This window comes from Homo sapiens, chromosome 10 (genome assembly GCF_000001405.40).
Source record: "Homo sapiens chromosome 10, GRCh38.p14 Primary Assembly".
Lineage (NCBI taxonomy): Eukaryota > Metazoa > Chordata > Mammalia > Primates > Hominidae > Homo > Homo sapiens.
Window position 1 is genome coordinate 31,928,326 of NC_000010.11, and position 23,354 is coordinate 31,951,679.

Genomic DNA, 23,354 nt, shown 5'->3' on the forward strand with positions numbered 1-23,354 from the left:
CTCCTCCCTGGGGGCGGGGCGGGCGGGCGCTGCCCTCACACAGGAAGTCAGGAAACCCAGGGGGCAGAGAAGCCACAACTTCGGGCCATTTAAACCCTCTCGCCCACGTCAGCCAATAGGCTGCGCCGGCCCCCTCCCCCTCGGCGCCTAACCCCCGCGCCCAGAGCCCCTCGCTGCGCGCCCGACCTCCCTTTGCGCGCACCTCCGCGGCGCCGCCGCCGCCGCCGCCGCGCCTCCCGCACACGCCTCCCCCCGACTCCACCGCCCTCGGCGGGCACAGCCCGGCCCCGGCGCGCCTTTGTGCAGCGCCTCGCCAACCTGCCCTCCGTCCGCCAGGACCCGCGCCCTGCACCTCACCGGGAGCCCGGCGGCCTCGCAGCAGGCGGCTCCCTTCTTAGTCCGCCCCGCGGCTGCGGGTCGACGACGCGAGCCCGAAGAGCGTTCACACGGCTACGGCCGCGGCCGGCCCGTCCCCGCAGGCTGGCCTCTGAGGGAGGGTAAGTTACAGGGCACGTCGGAGCGCGCCGGCGCGGGGGCGGGGCTCACGTGACGCGCGGGGGCGGGGCGGGAGGCTCACGTGATGGCCCGGGCGAGCTGGGCGGGCGCGGGTCTCCGGGACGGTCTGGGGTGGCTAGGGGGTGCGGCGCCCGGCGGGGATCCGAATAGGGGGCAGCCAGCGTACGGTGTGGGAACTCGGGCCGGCGCGGGAGCCTGCGGTCAAGGGGGCTCAGCACTTTGTAAACAAGGAGTGGGAAGCGTTAAAAAAACGCTCGTAGGGAAAACCAGGGAAGGGCGGACATAGCGCCAGGGTGGCAGGAATGGAGCCCGGGCAAAGACGGCCCTGCCGTGGGCCCTAGCGCTCCCTTCGTCGGCCCCTGGAGCTGCGGCCGGGCGTGGGTCAGTCGTTCACGGGCCCGGAAATTCCACTGGGACACCCGAAAAAGTGCTGCACGCCGCCTGAGGGAGACGGAAAGGGACCCGGGGCACTGAGTCCATTGCTGGGGTCGCCAGGGTACGTGGCAGGACCCGCTGTGCACACTCGGGACTGAGGAGACCCCTGGGACGCGGAGAGCCGCTCCAGGGCAGAACCAGTCCGTCAGCATTTAGCCTTCCACGGGCCTGAGGGTGCGAGCCCTGCGGGGGCCACAGGGTCATTGTCCAAAGTCATCCCCGTTTGCACTGTGGCAGCACCGAACCCGGAAGTAACAGCTTTGGCAGGTCTTTGATGGTGATCCAGTGGCAGGAGGAGCTCAGCTGGAATGGGAATCAGGAAAGAGACCTGGCTTCTGCCATTTATTGGCACTTCACCCTTCTGAACCTCAGCTTTCAAATGAGAGCTGGCTTCTAGGTCTAGAATACAGTGAGTGTGAGAAAAATAACTGAGAGGCGTTGGGACTTCAGTAACTACTCATTCCTTAACCAGTTGTTGATTGTGCCTGTTGTGCCAGGATGAAATATTTGTTAATAATAGAGACCAGAAAGGAGAGGGGGGAAAAAACAAGCATATGTATGATTCAAGCAATGAAGAGCTACTCTCCGGAGTTGGCTCTTTCCTGTGCTTCACTTCGTACTTGAAGATGCCACAATGCCTGGCTTCCTTATCAACCAGCTGAACTCCGAATTGTGCCTTACAGGATGCGAAGAATCCGGTAGGGCAGTGGCAAGACTTTAACAGCTGTGGTTTACAACCTTCTTATTAAATTAAGTCTAATGCGAGCTAAAGTGTTAAGATAGTCTCCATTTAGAAAGGAAAGAGGCTTACAATGAGAATTTTTGAAAAATAAGCCTGAGACTGTGCTGTCTCTATCGTTGCATTTGCTTTTCACAGTCCTTGGCACCCACTGCCTTTTTGTCTCCCTCGGTTTCTAACCCGTTCTGTTTTCTTGCATTTGTTCAGTATAAGGAGTATTTCCTGTATGCTTTGGCAACTATTTTCCATAGACTCTGCTTGTGTTCTCCTTATAAAACCAGAACAAGAGCAGTGCAAAAAAGAAAACGACCCTGATAGGAATGCGCTGATAACCTTACTTTCCCTACTCTCCAAACCTGAATTGGGCACCCTTGGTTTTAGCAAGAGATAGAACTCAACAGTTTGCATACACTTGCGGATCTGCCTGTAACCCCACTTCCTATTTCACAGCCTAATCTCGGATGATACCACAATGCCCACAGTATGCTGATCACCACCAACAGCAGATGGAGGCGGATAAAAAGAGCTTTCTCGCTAGTGTGTTGTTTTAAAAGAACCTGATGGAGAGCTATGATCATATGTAACACTGCCTCTAGTTAGTTTTTAAATAACACTTGTAGCATATGTCTGGCGCCTGTGCTCAGGATTTCAACAGATCATTTTCAGGATTTTGACATTTAACTGGCTTCTTATGAAGTAGCAGAGAGTTCCAAAATGTAGAACTGAAATATAAGCTCCACACACAGGCAGAGATTTGAGTCTGATTTGTTTGTGTGTATATCCCAAGTGCCTAAAAGCACTTGGCATACGGTAGATGCACAATAGATTCCTGTTAAATGTATTTTTAGGTGAAAATGTAGTCTGTACTTTGCATAAACTTGTCCTACTTTCTTCCTAGTTCTTTAATAAGTAACCTACTTTTCATTATATATTTTTAAATGAAAAAACAAAATTATATCTGGCATCACTACTTTGGCTGGGCTATAAAGAAACAGGAATTTGGCAGTATGTATTAAAATTACAAATGCATATATACTCGGAGCCTTGAATTTCATTTCCAGGGATTTATGCCACAGATGTTTCCACACATAAGAAATAACAAGGTGTTTCTTATTGTTGAGAATAGCAAAAGATTGGAAACAAGCTAAGTATCTATCAACAGGATACTAGTTAAATTATGATAGAGCCATATGTTTGAACATTGTGCAGCTGTTAATCAAAAAAACAGAAAGTTCTTTGTTTTAACATTAAGATCTCCAAGATTTTTTTGTTAAGTGAAAAACACAGAAATACGGTACAGAATATTGTATTAAATTGTATATGCATTAAACTAGGACAAAGTAACATGAGGTATGAGAACACAGTAGATGGAAAGCATAAGAAATAGACTTCATTGTATTCATATTTAAACTTTTTGATATTCAAAATTTCAGAATGTTTTATCTATTCAAATAGTGAAAATGTTTAAAATTTTTCTGGCATCTTTTTGTTGTTGTTGTTGTTATTAAAACATTCAGGCTTCTTCTGTTTTATAAAAGTTTACCTGAGTAAAATAAACATATCAAGGAGGCTGGGTGCAGTGGCTCATGCCTATAATCCCAGCACTTTGGGAGGCTGAGGCGGGCAGATTGCTTGAGCTCAGGAATTCAAGACCAACCTGGGCAACATGGCAAGACCCCATCTCTAATGAAAATACAAAAAAAAAAAAATAGCCAGGCATGGTGGTGTGTGCCTGTGGTCTCAGCTACTCCAGAGGCTGAAGTAGGAGGATCACTTCAACCCAGGAGGTGGAGGTTGCAGTTAGTCAAGATTGTGACACTGCACTCCAGCCTGAGTAACAGAGTGAGACCATGTCTCAAATAAATAAATAAATAAATAAATAAATAAAATCAGGTAAGCTAGTGCTCATAGGCAAACTTTTGAAAACCTCAGAGTTTTTGTTCAGATTGAATGATGTCTGTTTCTTACCGTAATAATTTAAAATCCAGGTACATTTATTTTGAGGCTTAGTATACATTTTATCAAATGTATATAAATTTTCAGAAGTACTCTATTTTTCTTCAAGTTTAGTAGAGCCTTCCTTGAACAAGTTTTAACAAATTGGATCCTCCATTTTAAACAATAAAATTAGAATTTCATGGATCATTTGTCTGTTAATTAAGGTCAACAAAATATATTTTGGGAAAAACGCTAAAGGCATATGTTTCTCGTGTATCTGTTCACTCACCCATTTTGTAATATCAACTGCTTCTTGTTTCCATGGGTTACACAGATGCCCTGTAAATGATTTTGTCTGATATGTTTCAGTATTTGATTATATTTATTTGTGGGCTTAATTTCCAGAAATCTCAAAGAGAATAATGAGTACAATAGCAGTCAGATTTGCATAACACATCTTTAAGGGTTTTAGGAGATTTATTAATATTTTCTTGTGAAATCTCACTGCTTTCACTATATAAATTCATATGATCAGTTTTAACTATTATTAAAGACAAATATTAGTACTTGTGGTCAGGTGTGGTGACTCACACCTGCAATCCCAGCACTTTGGGAGGCTTAGGCAAGTGGGTCACCTGAGGTCAGGAGTTCAAGACCAGTCTGGCCAACATGGTGAAACCCCATCTGTACTAAAAATACAAAAAATTAGCTGGACATAGTGGTGCACGCCTGTAGTCCCAGCTACTCAGGAGGCTGAGGCAGGAGGATTGCTTGAACCCGAGAGGCAGAGGTTGCAGTGAGCCAAGATGGTGCCATTGCACTCCAGCCTGGGTAACAGAGGGAGACCCTGTTTCAAAAAATAATAATAATAATTAGTACTTGTAATAGTTGATTATACAAATTAGGACATTCTTGTCATACCCAACTAACTCAAAGAGTCCAGGAGTGGGGGGAAAAATCACTCAGGGCACATAGCACCAGCTCCAAAAATTAAATTTTCTGCAAGCCCAGCTGCTAAAACAGCCTGCTGTAACCATAAGAATAGTTTTACCTAGTAGCTGCTGAAATGACCTACTGTGACTCATAGACTAGTGTTACCTACTGCTGTCTTCAGCAATCAGAGTTTGCCAGCTCCCCAAAGCTTCTCCAGTAGCAGTGAGCTTTCTTTTAAAACAAAACATAACATTTCTCCTTCTAATAAACTACCAACCTTCTTTTTGTTCTTTGAGCATACCAAAGACCACCTGTATGTGCATATATATATATATATATATATATATATATATATCCCAAATTCCAATTCTGTGATTCCCAAATAAGATGTTTAGAGATTCATCTCTATATTTTATTTTGATTTCTACATACTTGAAGTCAGAAGTGGGATCCAAAGCAGGCTCACCTTGGAGAATTAGCACCTGGAATGTGGCATGAAGTACCCAAATTCAGGCCTCTTGAGCCCCCAAACTTCTACGAGCCACCTCTTTTCCCCATGGTGAGTCTCTGTTGGCTTGAACTCATATTTTTTCTTTTGGTTTAGTTCAGTTTTATTTGGGAATTGGTTGGGAGGCATCCTTCCCCGCTACCAGCTATGAAATCTTCTGTTTAGGGGAACTTTCTCCCTCCTTGCTATAGACTTGGTTAAGATGAATACGTTTTTCTTCCTGGTTATGAGGACTCCTGTTTAAAAGGGATTTTTTTCTCTCTTTTGTTAAAGAAGGCTTATTATCCCTCTTGGGGAGTACATACTTTATTTTCTGATTCATTTGCACACTTGGATTTTAAATTGGTTTTTGTGGCCAGGCGCCATGGCTCATGCCCGTAATCCCAGCACTTTAGGAGGCTGAGGCAGGCCGATCATTTGAGCCCAGGAGTTCAAGACCAGCTGGGCAGCATAGTGAGACCCCATCTCATATATATATATATATATATATATATATATATATATAAGTTTTTGTGTATTTGTCATTAAACCAAGTCAGCTAAATTTATTTACAAATGGGCTCTCAAAGTTCAAAGGCATGCCAAAATAATTCCCCCTTCTGAGACTCCAGCTGACGTGTTCAAACATTATAGGGATCATTAAAAAAGTCCGTTTTTCTTAAAACTAAAGTAAAGGGCCACATCTATGAAATCATACAGTCCAAATAGGACAGATATCTCAATTGGTATCTTGAGGCTCAAAGACTCACATTCAAGACTCAAAGATTGCCTCACTGCAAAGTACTGTCACAAAGCTACCTGGGACTCATTCTTCCCCAAAACCTTTCCATCCCCTTCCTCCTCCTCCCCTTTATCCTTCTCTATGCTAAACTCTCTTTTTCCAAAACTCCTCAACTATTCTGGCATACTGATTAATAAGAATCTATTCTTGGCCGGGCACAGTGGCTCACGCCTGTAATGCCAGCACTTTGGGAGGCCAAGGCAGGCAGATCACGAAGTCAGGAGTTCGAGAACAGCCTAGCCAGCATAGTGAAACCCTGTCTCTACTAAAGATACAAAAAATTAGCCAGGTGTGATGGTGGGCCCCTGTAATCCTAGCTATTTGGGAGGCTGAGGCAGGAGAATCGCTTGAACCCGGGAGGCGGAGGTTGCAGTGAGCCGAGATCACGCCACTGCACACCAGCCAGGGCAACAGTGTGAGACTCCATCTCAAAAAAAAATTTAAAAAAGAAAATATATTCTTAATAGTTACTATTAAAACTGTAGGGTTTTTTTTTGAGATGGAGGAGTCTCTCTCCATCGTGTAAGCTGAAATGCAGTGGTGCAATTCGGCTCACCGCAACCTCCACCTCCCAGATTCAAGCAATTCTCGTGTCTCAGCCTCTCAAGTAGTCGGGATTACAGGCGTGCACCACCACACCTGGCTAATTTTTGTATTTTTAGTAGACACAGGGTTTCTCTGTGTTGGCCAGGCTGGTCTTGAACTTCTGGCCTCAGATGATCCACCTGCCTCAAACTCAAAGTGCTGAGATTACAGGCATGAGCCACTGAACCAGCCAAAACTTTAGTTTTCATAGTATTTCTATAGTTATTCTGGCCTTAATGCTGTTTCTTAAAGGCAAAAGATGAAATTTCCATGTAAAAGACACCTTCCCTATACTAGAAGGAAAGGCAGCACTCTTAGTCTCAAGAATAAGTAATAGAAACCAAGAAAATATTGTATAAAGCTCGTTAGAATAGCTCTTGCAGGGTGTGGTGACTCACACCTGTAATCCCAGCACTTTGGGAGTCTGAGGCGGGAAGATCGCTGGAGCTCAGGAGTTTGAAACCAGCCTGGACAACATAGTGAGACTTTATCTCTACTACTTAAAAAACAAAACAAAACAAAACAAAAAATCCCAGCTACTTGGGAGGCTGAGGCAAGAGAATTGCTTGAACCCAGGAGGTGGAGGTTGCAGTGAGCTGAGATCGCACCACTGCACTCCAGCCTGGGCAACACAGCTAGACTCCGTCTCAAAAAAAAAAAAAAAAAAAAAAAAAGCTGGGCGTGGTAGCACGGGCCTGTAGTCCTGGCTACTTGAGAGGCTGAGTTGCTGAGGTAGGAGGATCGCTTGAGCCCAGAAGGTCGAGGCTGCTGTGAGCAGTGATCACACCATTGCTCTCCAGCCCTGGCAACAGATTTTTTTCTGTTGCAAGACCCTGTCTCAAAAATAAATAAATATAAAAATAATAACTCTTATCTTTTGGGGCTCCTCACATAATTGTCATATTTTTCACAGCCCTTTTTTGTCCAATCCAGTATATTGGTAATGACTCAAACTGCTTTACCCAAAATTTGTTTCCCAGCCTTTTTAAGATTACTTATTAAAGAAACAAAGGCCAGGCACAGTGGCTCGTGCCTGTAATCCTAGCACTTTGGGAAGCCTAGGCAGGTGGATTGCTTGAGGTCAGAAGTTCAAGAGCAGCCTGGGGCAACATGGCCCTGTCTCTACAAAAAAAAAAAAAAAAAAAAAATTAGCCAGGCTTGGTGGCAAGTACCTGTAGTCCCAGCTACCTAGGGTCCTGAGGCGGGAGGATAGTTTGAGCCCAGCAGGCAGAGGTTGCAGTGAGCTGAGATCGTGCTACTGCACTCCAGCCTGAGCGACAGAGTGAGATTCTGTCTCAAAAAAAAAAAGACACTCAAAGTTTAGCCTTATGTTGTCAGAAATATGGTTTGAATCCAATTGTCTTCTTATAAACCAGCAAATTTAGGTTACTATGCTTTACTCAAGAATAAACTTTTAATAAAAACTATGTGCCAGCCTGGGCAACACAGTGAGATCTCGTCTCTACAAAAAAAAAAAAAAAGATAGCTGGGTGTGGTGGTCCCAGCTACATGGGAGACTAAGGCAAGAGGATCATTTGAGCCCAGAATGTCAAGGCTAGAGTGAACTATGTTTGTACCACTGCACTGCAGCCTGGGCAATAGAGCAAGACCCAGTCTCAAAAACAAAACAAACCCAAACAAAAAACTATATGGTCTTTGTTTTTGTTTGTATGTTTTTATGGGTTTTTTATTTCTATATGCATATGATCATTTTCTACCAGAATATATAAAAGAGCTCTAATTATTTGACTTAAGATTATTTTCTACCAAAATATATTAAAGAACCCTAATTATTTGACTTAAAAGGAAAAATTAAGTGCTCAAATCTAATATTTTGTTAAAAAATATAATAACTAAAATTTTTTTAGTTCACAGGACTTAAGTAAATCTTTGATAATAAGCTAATTTTAAATTTGTTGATAAAATAAAAATAAAAATGTCTTCAAAATTGTTAGCACACATTTGGGGGTACGGAGTGGCTTGATTTGCTGGTCAGACAAGATTATATTTGTCCTTGCTAGCTGCTTTAAGATCATAAAAGTATGAGTTTCACCGCAAAATAAATGTACAGATGAGAGTACAATGCAGTGTCCATTGTTCCCTGTATACCAAGCACAACAATTTAACTTTTAAGGGTTTTTCTTTAACAGAAAAAGTAAGATAATGACCAGCTCTGTGTAATATCTCAGTGGCTTTCTTTCTCAACGTTTTTGCCAATTTCCGTAGCTTTTTTTTTTTTTTTCTCATTTCTGACTGTGCTGTTGTGTGTTGGTACATGTTTGTCTTAAAGGCCTGAGAGAACAATGCTTCCTCTGGTATAACTTGATTCTGTACTCCTGGCTTTTCTTGGTGTGTCAAAGTTGTTCTGTGTAACCAGGCAAATTTACAGTCATACATCCTCCTGCGCAAGGTACAGGTTTCTTGTTTACATTACTCTTCTATAACGTGGTGTATATTCATAACCTTAGTCACATACTCTTCCAGTGTTTAATTAAATGCTAGTACCTTTTCATGAAGTTTGACTTCCAGGTAATTCAAACAGGCATCCTAGAAAGAGAAACAGTCGTACTACAAGAGGTTTTTCTTTTTTTTTCTTTCTTTTTTTTTGTTTTTTTTTGAGACAGAGTGTTTTGTTTTGTTTTGTTCTGTTTTTGAGACAGTGTCGCGTTCTGTTGCTCAGGTTGGAGTGAACTGGTGCGATTTCGGCTCACTGCAACCTCCGCCTTCTGGGTTCAAGCGATTCTCGTGCTTCAGGCTCCCAAGTAGCTGGGATTACAGGCACTAGCCACCACACCCGGCTAGTAGAGACGGGGTTTCACTATGTTGGCCAGGCTGGTCTCAAACTCCTGGCCTCAAGTGACCTGCCTGCCTTGGCCTCTCAAAGTGCTAGGATTTCAGGCCAGAGTCACCACACCCAGCCACAAGAGGTTTCTCTTTACCTCTTAAATAATCAGCCTAAAAAAACAGATAAGTTATATTTTAAGGTAGTTTCTTGTGCTTTTCCTGTTTTTATTAGGTTTTTGACTACTTGGAAAAAGTTATCTCAATACAGAGCCAAGTTTATTTTTTTTCTCTCTGTCTCAACGGAGTTTTGATTTTGGATTTTTTTGGTTGGTTTTTTTTTTTTAATTTATTTTTATTTTTATTTTTTTTTTGAGACAGACTCTCGCTCTGTCACCCAGGCTGGAGTGCATGGCACGATCTCGGCTCACTGCAAGCTCCACCTCCCGGGTTCTCGCCATTCTCCTGCCTCAGCCTCCCAAGCTGGGACTACAGGCACCTGCCACCACGCCCGGCTAATTTTTTGTATTTTTGGTAGAGATGGGGTCTCACCATGTTAGCCAGGATGGTCTCGATCTCCTGACCTCGCAATCCGCCCGCCTTGGCCTCCCAAAGTGCTAGGATTACAGGTGTGAGCCACCATGCCTGGCCAATTTTTTTATTTTTTTGAGACAGAGTCTTGCTCTGTCGCCCAGGCTGGAGTTTAGTGGCACGATCTTGGCTCACTGCAGCCTCCACTTCCTGGGTTCAAGCAATTCTCCTGCCTCAGCCTCCCAAGTAGCAGAGATTACAGGCACGTACCACCCAGCTAATTTTTGTATTTTTAGTAGAGACAGGGTTTCACCATGTTGGCCAGGCTGGTCTCAAACTCCTGACTTCAGGTGATCCACCCACCTCAGCCTCCCAAAGTGCTGGGATTACAGGCGTGAGTCACCACACCTGGCCAGTTTTATTTATTTTTGAGGCAGGGTCGTCTTCTGTTGCCCAGGCTAAAGTGCAGCAGGGTGATCTCAGTTCATAGCAGCCTCAACTTCCCAGGCTCAAGCAATCCTCCACCTCAGCCTCCCAAGTAGCTGGGAACTACAGGTACATGTCACCACTCTCAGCTGAGTTTTGTATTTTTTGTAGAGATGAGGTTTTGCCATGTTGCAAAGGCTGGTCTCAAACTCCTGAGCTTAAGCGATCCGCCTACCTCGGCCTCCCAAAGTGCTGGGATTACAGGCATGACCCACCATGCCTGGCCTATGTTACTTCTTGTATTTGCTTTTGAAGTCTTTCATTTATCACTCTGATTAAATAAATGGCTATTATTTCTCAATGGCATGCAATTCTACTTTAATTAAATATTTTAAGCCTTTAACATCTTTGCCACTTTCCCAAAACCAAATTCTAATTTAAAAGTTTTTTTAACCTAAAATTGACTTTGGGATTGTCCTTTGGGCCTCTGGAAAACCTCTGTAATCTGTGTATGCTCTGAATTACAATTCTGTGATTCCCAAATAAAATGCCTAGAGATTCATCTCTATTTTCTTTTGACTTCAACATAGTAAAGGGCTAAGAGACAGATTGCCACCTAGAGCTTTTTTCCAAAATTATGTAGCCCTGGCTGCCTAATAGAAGAAAATTTAGTAATTGGCCTTCAAATTTAAAATGTGTAATCACCCAATCAATAATTCAGATATATTTTAATTGATAATTTGTTCTGCTGTTATCCTCTAAATTAAATATACACTCATTTTAGTTTCACTCAGGCACTAAGGAAATGACCCTAAAATTAATAAAAATCAGCAATAAATAATTTATTATTTGAGATCATTTAGACTACATGAAAAACATTTACTATTTGTCACATTTGGGCACACAATGTTTCTATATGAAACACAGCTAAGATATAAATAATATTTCTTGATTCAAAAATAAAAGTCCTTCCCTAATATCGGGAACAAGGCAAAAATTCATGCTTTTGCCACTCCTAGTCAACATTGCACTGGAAATTCTAGCAAGTATCAAACAGTAAGTACATCGGTGGAGGAAACTTTATGTAAATTTGTATAATCTGGTACAGTAGATAAAAACATCCAAACAAATTATAGTATTAAAATCCATAGGATTGGTATATTGAGGTGGGTGGGAGGATAAAAGGAGATAATATATATCAGCACATTCCTATCAAGGCACAGTTTCCCTTTTGCAATATGCCCTTGTTCTCATTTTAGAAAGAGATTACAAGGGGATTTCATGGAAAATAGTTTCAGGAGCAAAACCTGGCATATGGCATATCATAACAATAAACGATAAAGATGGTTCCTGCTCCCTCCAGGCTCTGTAATGCTCCCCGATTCACCGTCTCTTACAAGTTCCCTTAACCTACCCTCACCTTTGTGAATAGCCTATCTTTAAGTCTGTTCCCACTTAATTCATTTGAGTGGACTTCTCTCTGACAAGACCCTGACTAATACACTTGATTAACTGCTTTCCTAAACAGGAACAGTTTGGGAACACAACAGGTCTTTGATAAATGTTTGTTCAACTAAAATTAGAAGGATTCCAGGAACATCTCAGCAAAAAAGTAATAGCAAACATCCTAAGAGAAAGTGAAATGAAAAGAGGAGAACACTGTATCAGAAAGCAGCAAAGAAGGCTCAAGAGTTGCCCAGTTTCAAAACATTCAGTGAAGACATTTCAATAAGCATCAAGGTCATTGAACATTTTGTGGTGTTCGTTATGACATCTGCAAGTGACCTTCAGTACTCAATGCTCTAAGGTAATGCTCCTAAAAGATATTGCAACCTCCCAACAGTGAGATTTTTTAAAATAAAAATACAGGTTTGCCAGGAACTTCTTCCCTTGCCTCTACTCACTGATATCTCAAATCATTAGAATGGAAGAGGGAGAGGGACAGAACATCCTCTTACCTAGGCAGGTTCTTACATATGGTAATTTGCATAATCACTGGCACATGTAAAACCAGCCCCCTCTATCACAGGATGCCAGCTAATGCTTAAAAAATTCAGATTTGTGTCCTCAAATACAAGCTTCCATAACTTTAAAAAATTGTGAGAACTTTCCATTTTTATTCTAACTTTGATATTATTCATACCTTCTAAAAATACAACAAACAACATCATATGTCAATTACCATTCACTCAAAAGAATATATCTTATGGAAAGAGATGAGTTGTATCTTAATATGGCAACCTATCTAAGAAAAAAAGGATTTTTACTAATTCCTTAGATTTGCATAGCTATTGAAGAACTTTGATTACGAAAATTATTGAGGTTTTGGAAGAGAAAATAAGTCAGCATTCAGGGAACACTGATACTATAGCTGTTGATATTATCAAGACAGCATTTAGGGAGCTGTCATGGCAACCATAATTTAATCCTCCATGAGTGTCTTGGAACACCCAGGCACCCCCGGAAATGAGGAGGGTGATTCAGCGGGCGGCACACTCCTGTCCTTATGAGTCAGGAAAATACCAGTGCTCTCACTCACATTGCTGGAGGCACCATTCTATGAGATATAAAATGCAGCCACTATGTGATCTGTGACAGTTGCACAAGAGCAAAATGTTGGCTTCATTCAATATTCCTGCCAAGTCTATTTTGATTGATTTTGAGACAAATGTTCACTTCATGACTAATGCAGAGCCTTGATCTCTCATCTTTTTGTCTTTTAGGCAAATCACAGCATAGTCTTCACTTTGATCTTTGGGGTGTAAGGTCAGTGGGAAGGTTTAAAGCTTTGAACGTTTTTTTCACCACCTTACTGGTTTTGTTTGAAGGTTAGTGAGAGAAAAGGTTAAAATTAATGGCTAAAATGAGATAGTTTTAGCTTTCATTTCCTGGTATAACATCACAGATTCTAGAATTGTCAGGACTACCAAGTTTAAATCTAGATGTGCAGTAAAGCCTCTGTGCTTTGCATATTCTATAAAATCTGTGAAATCAAAGTGAACTGTTCTCTGACTCTGAAATATCTATTCACTATCCACGGTGTGCTAAGTCCAAAAGATTTATTTTAACAAAAGGAAGAGAAACAGGCAAATAACATGGCTACTTAGAAAAAGCACTAGAGCCAGGGTCACGCCTGTAATCCGTGCACTTTGGGAGGCCGAGGTGGGCAGATCACCTGAGATTGCGAGTTTGAGACCAGCCTGACCAATATGGAAAAACCCCGCCTCTACTAAAAAATACAAAATTAGCTGGGCATGGTAGCACATGCCTGTAATCCCAGCCACTTGAGAGGCTGAGGCAGGAGAATCGCTTGAACCTGGGAGGTGACGGTTGAGGTGAGCAGAGATCGTGCCATTGCACTCCAGCCTGGGCAACAAGAGCAAAACTCTGTCTCAAAAAGAAATAAAAGAAGAATAAAAGAAAAAAGAAAAGAAAAAGCCTAGAATAGCCGGGCACAGTGGCTAATGCCTGTAATCCTAGCACTTTGAGAGGCCAAGGCAGGTGAATCATTTGAGGACAGGAGTTCGAGACCAGCCTAGCCAACATGGTGAAACTCCATCTCTACTAAAAAAAAAATTGCCAGGTGTGTTGGCACCTGCCTGTAATCGCAGCTACTAGGGAGGCTGAGGGACGAGAATCACTTGAACCCAGGAGACAGAGGTTGCAGTGAGCCAGCATTGTGCCACTGCACTCTGCCCTAGGCAAAAAAGGAAGATCCTGTCTCAAAAAAAAAAAAACAGAAAAGTCCTTGCCATGTAGAACTTTCTGACCATTTTTTTCTGTTTGATTAACTTTCTATTTTGTGTGCGTGTGTGTGTGTAGAATAAGAGAGAATTTAACTAAATATATATGAAATCCTATTTCATATGGGGGAAAATATATGAAAGAAAGCAAAAGTTGTATAATAGTTAAAGAAATTGGGGGAAAAAGGTAAAACAAAAACCATCTCCCTTGGGTTTGACAGACAAATTGTGTTGGCTCTGCATCCGAGCATGTGGCTTCTCTAACACTACTTTTAATTATGTTTTTCAGCTCTTAACCAATGGAAAGTATCTACTAATACAGTTTCTAGCCAGGCACAATAGCTCATGCCTGTAATCCCAGCATTTTGGGAAGCCAAGGCAATGAGAGATCTCTTGAGGCCAGGAGTTCAAGATCAGCCTGGGCAACATAGTGAGACCCCATCTCTACACAAATAAAAATAAAAAATAGTTTCCCATAGCTTCACACAAATAAACCAAGTTGCTGCCTGCTTTCCCAGTCTTGTATGAATAAGATTCTTCAAAGTGTTGATATTGAATTTCCTTGTTGCAAATCCACATTATTTCTGTAAAGTTTCCCATGCCTTCACTTCAATGGTTAATTGAAAACAGGAGTAGATTCCCCTTTGTGATGTGCTTCTCTTAAATCACAAAGCTTCCGGAGCCCTCCTTCTTAGTGGCTAACAAATTTATTTATTCTCATATTAATCAGTCTGTTGAAACAAGATTGCATATTCTCTGTCAAACTGGTTCCACTTCATCTCGCTGACCTTCGTTCTCCTGTATGTTTGCAGTACCCCACTGGCTGATACAGAATGGGACTGCATTGCAAGTATGACTCAAAAGAGGCTTCAGTTTGATTAAAATCTGCTCTTTGATATTTACTTTTTAAACTTTTAGACATATGATGTTTTTAGTTTACACAAATTCACATTCTGTTGTCAGAAAACTTTATTTTACCCTATTTAAAATGGTAGTTATTTTCACGATAGGTATAAAATAAAAGAGGAGTTCTGAAAACAGTTTTTTTTTTTTTTTGAGATGAAGTTTGGCTCTTGTTGCTCAGGCTGGAGTGTAGTGGCATGATCTTGGCTCACTGCGACCTCCACCTCCCAGGTTCAAGTGATTCTTCTGCCTCAGCCTCCCGAGTAGCTGGGATTACAGGCATCTGCCACCATGCCTGGCTAATTTTTTGTATTTTTGTAGTAGAGACAAAGGTTTCACCATGTTGGCCAGGCTGGTCTCAAACTCCTGACCTCAAGTGATCCACACGCCTCGGCCTCCCAAAGTGCTGGAATTACAGGCATCAGCCAAAAACAGTTTCTATTAAAGATGATAAGGGGAACAATATGGAATTCCTTACTTGATTGCACTTAGTAATAACATTCTACCCACTGGATAGGGAGAAGAAGCAGTAGAAAGATTTCTTGAGGGGATTTCTTTATGGAACTCCCCAATTAGCATTCTAGCTCTGTCATTAGTTAGCAGCGCCATCTTGGACAAGTCTTATCTTGGATATTACCTGCTATGACCTCAGTTTCTCTTCTGTCAAATGAGAGGATTGGTTTGGCTGATTCTCAGATCCTATTCAGTCGTAATAGGCCTTGATTCTTTTTATGACCTTAAGATATTTGACAAAATAAGTCATTTTTGGTTCTTATATTTTAAATAACATTCATTATAATATGGTAATACTTAACATTCTTGTTTTCATCCTGAAAATATTTTTCTCTTATAATGTTTAAACTGTATCTTGGATAGGAAGAAGAACTATTACTATCCCCACTTTTCAGATAAGGAAATTTAGGAAGGTTCCATAACTGACCAAGTGGAACAAAGGCAGCCTTAGACTAATTTACTGATCTTTTTTTTTTTTTTTTTAACTGTCACTGCATTGGCCGGGCTGGTCTCACACTCTTGGTCTCAAGTGTCCTCTCACCTCAGCGTCTCCAAGTGCTGGGATTATAGGCATGAGCCACTGCTCCTGGCCTTATTTACTGGCTTGAAGCCCTGCCATTGCCACTGGCAGGCATGTCACTGAAGCCTGGGACGGGACACTGCAGTACAGAGTGTGAGAACAGTTCAGCTGAACTACCTTCACTTCAAAGCCAGGAGCCTGTATTTATTTATTTGTTACTTTTTTCAATAGATACAGGGTCTCACTATGTTACCCAGGCTGGCCTTGAACTCCTGACCTCAAGGGATCCTCCTGCCTCAGCCTCCCAAAGTGCTGGGATTACAGGTGTGAGCCACTGCACCCAGCCAGGAGTCTGTATTTATATCCCCTCCTTGTACTTGCTCTAATTGTATTCAGAAGAAAAGCTGTACGTGGAAGTGCCAACCTTTCAGGAAGTGGCTACAGAATAAAGTATGACACTCCATCAAGTTAAATTAAATTAAAATCACATCTGATTAAATCATTTTAAAAGATGAGCCTGGCATGGCAACACTTTGTGTAACCACCATAGCTTTGCAGTGAGTCATGGTGAGATGTACTCCCGGTGTTATATAATATACAATGAATTCTTTGAAAAGTGATCAAAATTTCCAATACACAGTATTAAAATAAGTACTGGATTAGGTAAAGGAACAGAGCCATTTTACTGCAGTAAGATGAACCTTTTTTCATTTGAATAGCACAGAAAAATATATTGCTGATCTTTTTGCTCTTCCTGGCTTCCCCTTCACATTGCTGTTTGAATGCTTCGTCTGGAATAACTTAAAAGAGGAAGAATTCCATGGTGTCGCATACAGAAGGCCTTTCTCTGGGCAGTGCTTGTCAGTTCTCTATGTAAATAGGGATAACAAAGACCCCAAGAGATGAACAGACAAAGGACAAAGTAGACAATTCACAAAAGAGGAAATTCAGTTGTTTAACAAACAGTGGGAAAAGGTTCCATCTCACTAGTAATCAAAGATATGCAAATTAAAACACTACTGAGAGACCCAAAGTGTTTGGTTGGTTGTTTTTTTATGACAATACAGTAATGGCATCAGTGTGAAAGCTGCTTTCTTGCACATTGCTAGGAGCAGTGTAAATGGACTCAGCTCTGTTAAAAAAAAATTGGCAATGATACAAATAAAAGACAAAGCATTAAAAATGTTTATGCTTTTTGAACTACTAATTTCACTCTTAGGGATCCATCCTAAATAAGCCTAAATATGAAAAATATTTTGTATACACTAGAGCATGCATCACAGTGCTACTATTTGTAATAGCAAAAGGAAAAACTAAATAAATGTGTGATATGTTAAAGTATGGCTCACTATACTGAAACATGTGAAGCAATTAAAATTGTTTTATGAAGTGTTTCTAATCACCTAGGAAAAGACTTATGTTATCATGTAATATGAGAGATGAGGTCATGAACACTATGAAACACCCATGAAAATAAACAGGTTTTTTTAAAGATGAAGAAAACAATTATTTTTTTAAAAAGTAACTATGAAAGAAAATACACTAAAAATGTTAATTTTTTTTTTTTTTTTTAAGACGGAGTTTTGCTCTTGTTGCCCAGGCTGGAGTGCAATGGCGCAATCTCGGCTCACCACAACCTTCGCCTCCTGGGTTCAAGTGATTCTCCTGCCTCAGCCTCCGGAGTAGCTGAGATTACTGGCATGTGCCACCATGGCCCGCTACTTTTTTTGTATTTTTAGTACAGACGGGGTTTCTCCATGTTTGTCAGGCTGGTCTCAAATTCCCGACCTCAAGTGATCCACCTGCCTCAGCCTCCCAAAGTGTTGGGATTACAGGCGTGAGCCACTGCACCCAGCCAAAAATGTTAATATTAGTTGTCTTTAGACTGATGTCTTTTTACTTTTCCATATTTTCAAGAATTTTATATTGATTCCTTAGGACATTTACAGTGAACATAAAAATGTTAGAGAGAGAGAAGAGCTTAACATTTTTCATTAGAGCACCCTTAAAAAAAATATTTTCTAAGGAAACCTGAATTGCTTAGATCTCATCTCTTTTTTTTTGTTTGTTTTATGTACATCTTCGCCTATATTAGATAGATCATTGATGTACTTACCAAAACAAAAGGAAATGGTCCTGCTTCCTATGAAATTGTGTAAGCATGTGCCCTAATAACCACCTTTGTTTTAGTTCTTTCCAGTCTATTTAAAATTCTGGTCTTTATCTGACAAGCTGGAACTTCTTTACTTCTTTTTTTTTTTTTTTTTTTTTTTTGAGACACAGTTTCGCTCTCGTTGTCCAGGCTGGAGTGCAATGGCGCGATCTCAGCTCACTGCAACCTCTACCTTCCAGGTTCAAGCGATTCTCCTGCCTCAGCCTCCTGAATAGCTGGGATTACAGGTATGCACCACCATGCCCAGCTAATTATGTATTTTTAGTAGAGATGGGGTTTCTCCATGTTGTTTTTATTTTTTCCTTAACTTTTTTTTTTTTTTTTTGAGACAAGGTCCAGGGTCTCACCCTGTTGCCCAGGCTGGAGTGAAATGGCAGGATCTTGGCTCACTGCAAACCCTGCCCCCCAGGCTCAAGCAATCCTCTTGCTTCGGCCTCCAAGTAGCTGGGACTACAGGCATGTAGCCTTGCAGGCATGCAGGCATGGGCCTGGATAATTTTGTAATTTTTGTAGAGCTGGGGTTTCACCATGTTGCCCAGGCTGGTCTCGAACTCGAACTCCTGAGCTCAGGTGATCCATCCCCTTCAGCCTCCCAAAGTGCTGGGACTGTAAGCATGAGCCACCACGCCAGGCCCATATTGTTATTTTTCAAAAAGAAAGAAAGGAAAATGGTAAAAATAATGATAAATATTGGTATTATTTAGTCTCCAAAAAGAATAGCATGACCTTTATCAGAGGTATGTCTAGTTCTCAGAAAAAGAACCCAGAGCAAGAGAAAATGACAGATATTTAATAGGGGGCGAAAGTCTTTTTACATAAAACCTGTCAAAAAAGAAAATCGTGTTGTAATTTGGGACTGTAGCCTGCTGTCAGTTATTTACAGGAGTTTGAATAGCATTGGGTTGGGTTGTATTATGCCACCTAAAATCCAAACCAAATAGGTGTACCCAGTTAAACAGACTTGGGAAGAGAAGTGTGAAGTGTCAGCAGGATTCTTGAAGTCATGGTGGAGGGGAAGAGAAGTGGCCTGCAGATTTCATCAGCAGTTCTTCCGGTTCCCTCCTTTTTCCTAAAATAATCTCTCTGAATTTATCACTTCTGTTAGGAACATACAATATGTTTTTGGTACAGATTCTACTTAAATATCAACAATTTTTCCACTCTGTCAGCTGTTCTATAATATGTGATTCTGAAAACAAACCAAAAAAAAATAACAAATACTGGAACGCTTTCTGCTTTTAAAGTTTGCTCTTAAATGATGTGACCCCTTTTATGATGGATGTTGTTAGCTCCAAGGGTGCCAGATTTAGCAATCCATTATTTATCCTCTTCTCCTGGGACTCATCGTTTTTCCTACATTACCACATTTCACGTTCACAGCCCTTTTAATGCTCACACCCTGCACTGTTTTGTGTACATTCCATTCATCCTGCTCAGCCATTATGGGTTATTGCCATCTGGTGGAAAAACAGGGTTGACTACCAGATGGTAGTTTTGAAATTCCGGAAGTGAAATGAAGTTGTTTTCATCAGGGAAAAACACATTTATGTCTCATGCATATTCTGGTGTTCTAAAACAACGAGCGTTTTTCTGTTCCATTGCACATGGGGAAGTATACAACGATTTCAGCTGCTGAACACATTAAAAAATTGACTTTCTATATACACTACACAAAAATCGTGCTTGTAAAAAAGTTAGGTCCCCTTTTTATTTCTTTTTTCTTTTCACTCTGTCAACCCAGGCTGGAGTACGGTGGCAAGATCACAGCTCACTGCAGCCTCAATCTCCCAGGCTCGAGTGATCATCCCACCTCAGCCTCCTGAGTAGTTGAGACTACAGGCTCACGCCAACACAACTGGCTAATTTTTTTAAAATTTTTGTAGAGACGGGGTCTCACTACATTGTCCAGGCTGGTCTCAAACTTCTGGGTTCAAGTGATCCTCCCTCCTTGTCCTCCCAAAATGCTGGGATTATAGGCGTGAGCCACCGTGCCCAGCTGTCCACCTTTTTAAGTAATCCTGTGATCATAAAACAAAAATGACAAAACAAAATAGAGCTAAAATGTCTCAACTGCTTATCCCTTCACTAGGAAAAAATGCAGTATTAGATGTTTTCTACTTTTAAGTTCTATTATATAATAGCACACTTGAGTCATTAAGCAATTTTAGGGTATTAGTTCTTAAAATGAGATTCATTCACATTCAAAATTTAGCATAGTCTTCAAAGTGACAGGATGAATATTAGTCCAAAATGACTTAGGAGTTTCTCTTTCTCAAATTGTCATAAAATTTACTAACACTGTTACAATCCTTTAACATCTAAATTAGGCCAGGTACAATGGCTCATGCCTGCAGTGCCAACAATTTTAGAGGCCAAGGTGAGGAGATTGCTTGAGCCCAGGAGTTCAAGACCAGCCTGAGCAACATAGCAAGATCCTGTCTCTACAAAACATTTTTTTTTAATTTTTAAAGAAAAATAAAAATCTAAATAAAATGAGGTAGTAGGCCTGAGCTCCTCAAAACTATCAATATTATAAAAGACAAAAAAAGGCAGGGGGGGTGTGGTCAGGGACGGTGGCTCGCGCCTGTAATCCCAGCACTTTGGGAGGCCAAGGCGGGCAGATCACTTGAGGTCAGGAGTTCAAGACCAGGCTGGCCCACGTGGTGAAACCCTGTCTCTACTAAAAATACAAAAATTAGCTGTGTGTGGTGGCACGTGCCTGTAATCCCAGCTACTCGGTAGGCTGAGGCAGGAGAATGGCTTGAACCCAGGAGGCAGAGGTTGCAGTGAGCTAAGATTATGCCACTGCATTCCAGCATGGGTGACAGAGCAAGTAAGACTCTGTCTCAAAAAAAAAAAAAAAGGCGGGGATTTTCACAGTCTGTTCAGGCTTTTATAACAAAATACCATAAACTAGGTGGCTTACCAACAAGAGAAATTTATTTATCACAGTACTGGAGTCTGAGAAGTCCAAGATCAAGTTCCCAGCAGATAGCAGGGAATTGGTGGCCCATGCTTGTAGTCCTAGCTACTTAGGAGGCTGAGGCAGAAAGATTGCTTAAGCCCAGGAGTTTGAGGCTGCAGTGACCCATGAGCACGTTACTTCACTCCAGCCTGGGTGACAAAGCAAGACAAAGCGATACCCCGTCTCTAAAAATGAAAATGAAATTACAAATGTTTTAAAGAAGGTGCCAGCAGATTCAGTGTCTGTTAAGAACCCACTTTCTGATTCATAGATGGTGCCTTCAGTTGGGTCCTCACATGGTGGAAAGGGCCAATGAGCTCCCATGGGCATATATTACAAGGTCTCTAATTTGGTATATGAGGGTTCACCTTGGGGTTTAGGATTTCAACATATGAATTTTGAGGGATGATAAACATTTTGACCATCACAAGGATTGTTGTGGTTAAAAAGATATTAATGAGACATAATTATCAACCATATTCTTTTTTTTTTTTTTTTTTGAGACAGAGTCTCGCTTTCTTGCCTAGGCTGGAATGGAGTGGCGCGATCTTGGCTCACTGCAAGCTCCGCCTCCCGGGTCCACGCCATTCTCCTGCCTCAGCTTCCCGAGTAGCTGGGACTAAAGGCGCCCGCCACCACGCCCGGCTACTTTTTTTTTTGTATTTTTTAGTTGAGACAGGGTTTCACCGTGTTAGCCAGGATGGTCTCGATCTCCTGACCTCGTGATCCACCCGCCTCGGCCTCCCAAAGTGCTGGGATTACAGGCATGAGCCACCGAGCCCGGCCTTATCAACCGTATTCTTGATTGGATTGTGAATCTAGAAAAAGAAAAGCTTTAAGGATAATTGGAGAAATTTGAATATGGGCTGTATATTACTATTATTACGTCAATTACATTTCTTAGGTAGAACAATGCTGTTGTGGTTATATAAGAGAATTCCCTCTTCTTGGGAGATGCAGGATGAATATTTAGGTGTGGAACTTACTTTTTTTTTTGAGACAGAGTTTTGCTCTTGTTGCCCAGGCTGGAGTGCAATGGCACGATCTTGGCTCACCACAACCTCTGCTTCCTGGGTTCAAGTGATTCTTCTGCCTCAGCCTCCCGAGTAGCTTGGATTACAGGCATATGCCACCATGCCCAGCTAATTTTTTGTATTGTTACTAGAGACGAGGTTTCGCCATGTTGGTTCAGGCTGGTCTCCAACTCCCGACGTCAGGTGATCAGCCCACCTCGGCCTCCCAAAGTGCTGGGATTACAGGTGTGAGCCACCGCACTCGGCCAGAACTTACTTTTAATTGGTTGAAAAATATAAAAAGAGAAATAAAGCATCCATGGCAAAATATTAACAATTGATTAATCTAGATGAAAGGCTTATGTATGTTCATTGTTCAGTTTTCTCAAATTTTAGTTAAGCTTCACATTTTTAAAAATAAAAACTTGGGAGAAAAACACAATTGAAGAGAATGGTCCATTAAAAACCTTCAAGAGAGAAGAAATCCTTTGTCAGCACATAAAACAAGATGCCACTGACACAATGGCTAATCCACTGAGTGCATTACTTTAATTATAGGCCGGTTTACCTTATTACTAGACATCAGACTATATGGAAGGTCATTCAGTAGGATCAAAAAACATAAGTAGTTTCTACTTCCGGCCATGATGGAACAACAAGAATTGGATTTACCTTCCTACCTTAACCAGGAAACTGGATAAAAATACATGAAACACCGGTTTCCAGACATTGGACAACAGGAAGCTCAGGACAGTATTTCCTAGGAGAAGGAAAACAAATGAGATGAACCCTATCTTTGTCCCAGCTTACTGTCTAGAGAGTGTCTAGGCTGTAGCTCATGGAGGGGAAAATGCAAACAGTAAAATAAGTAGATGAAAAGTCTGTCAATAGAAATAAACCTTGAAATGGCACATATGATAAAGTTAATAAAGACATTAAAACAATTAAAGAACCATGACAAAGAGATACACAGAAGATAATAACCTATGTTGAACTTCTAAATATGACAAATACAGAAATCTACACTGGATGATATTAACAGCAAACTGGAAACCACAGGAAAAAAAATATTAGTGGATTTGAACACACAGCAATAAAAACTATCCAAAATGAAACACAGAAGAAAGATTGGAAATTAAAATGAACAGAGTTTAATGGCTATACGGCAACAAAAAGTGATATAATGTACTTGTAAATAGAGTCCCAGAAGGAGAGAAATATGAGGTGGGAGGGTGGAAGCAGAAGGACTATTTAAAAATAATGACCAAAAATGTTTATATTTGATGAAAATTATATACCCACACAAGAGCCAAATACTTCAGTGAGCCGGAAGAACATAAAACATGATTAAA

At 41.3% G+C, this 23,354-nt stretch overlaps 1 protein-coding gene and 1 long non-coding RNA gene across 10 annotated transcripts in view, besides 2 other annotated features; one reads left to right on the forward strand and one right to left on the reverse strand.

The window, feature by feature from the left end:
• The window catches only part of ARHGAP12 (Rho GTPase activating protein 12), a 123,479-nt gene extending 122,928 nt beyond the window's left edge, over positions 1 to 551 (reverse strand). For 6 of the 9 annotated variants that reach the window (XM_017016954.3, XM_047426021.1, XM_011519761.3 and 3 more), the window contains exon 1: positions 358 to 551. The gene's annotated coding sequence lies outside the window, so the exon portion shown is untranslated. The remainder of the gene's footprint in view (positions 1 to 357) is intronic. The other 3 variants (NM_001270698.2, NM_001270696.2, NM_018287.7) reach the window with 1 other exon arrangement.
• The window catches only part of LOC107984219 (uncharacterized), a 97,548-nt gene that overhangs the window by 5,474 nt on the left and 68,720 nt on the right, over positions 1 to 23,354 (forward strand). The window contains exon 2 of the long non-coding RNA XR_001747415.2: positions 337 to 497. This is a non-coding gene — a long non-coding RNA (uncharacterized LOC107984219). The remainder of the gene's footprint in view (positions 1 to 336; positions 498 to 23,354) is intronic.
• Positions 178 to 677: a silencer, noted in NCBI's record as "silent region_2280". NCBI's record gives its function as "represses an Ori minimal core promoter by ATAC-STARR-seq in GM12878 lymphoblastoid cells {active_cell/tissue: GM12878}" and the evidence as "EXISTENCE:reporter gene assay evidence [ECO:0000049][PMID:35858748]".
• Positions 12,138 to 13,337: an enhancer, noted in NCBI's record as "P300/CBP strongly-dependent group 1 enhancer chr10:32229391-32230590 (GRCh37/hg19 assembly coordinates)". NCBI's record gives its function as "activates an origin of replication core promoter dependent on BRD2, BRD4, P300/CBP, MED14 and CDK7 cofactors, with strong dependence on P300/CBP, by STARR-seq in HCT116 cells {active_cell/tissue: HCT116}" and the evidence as "EXISTENCE:reporter gene assay evidence [ECO:0000049][PMID:35650434]".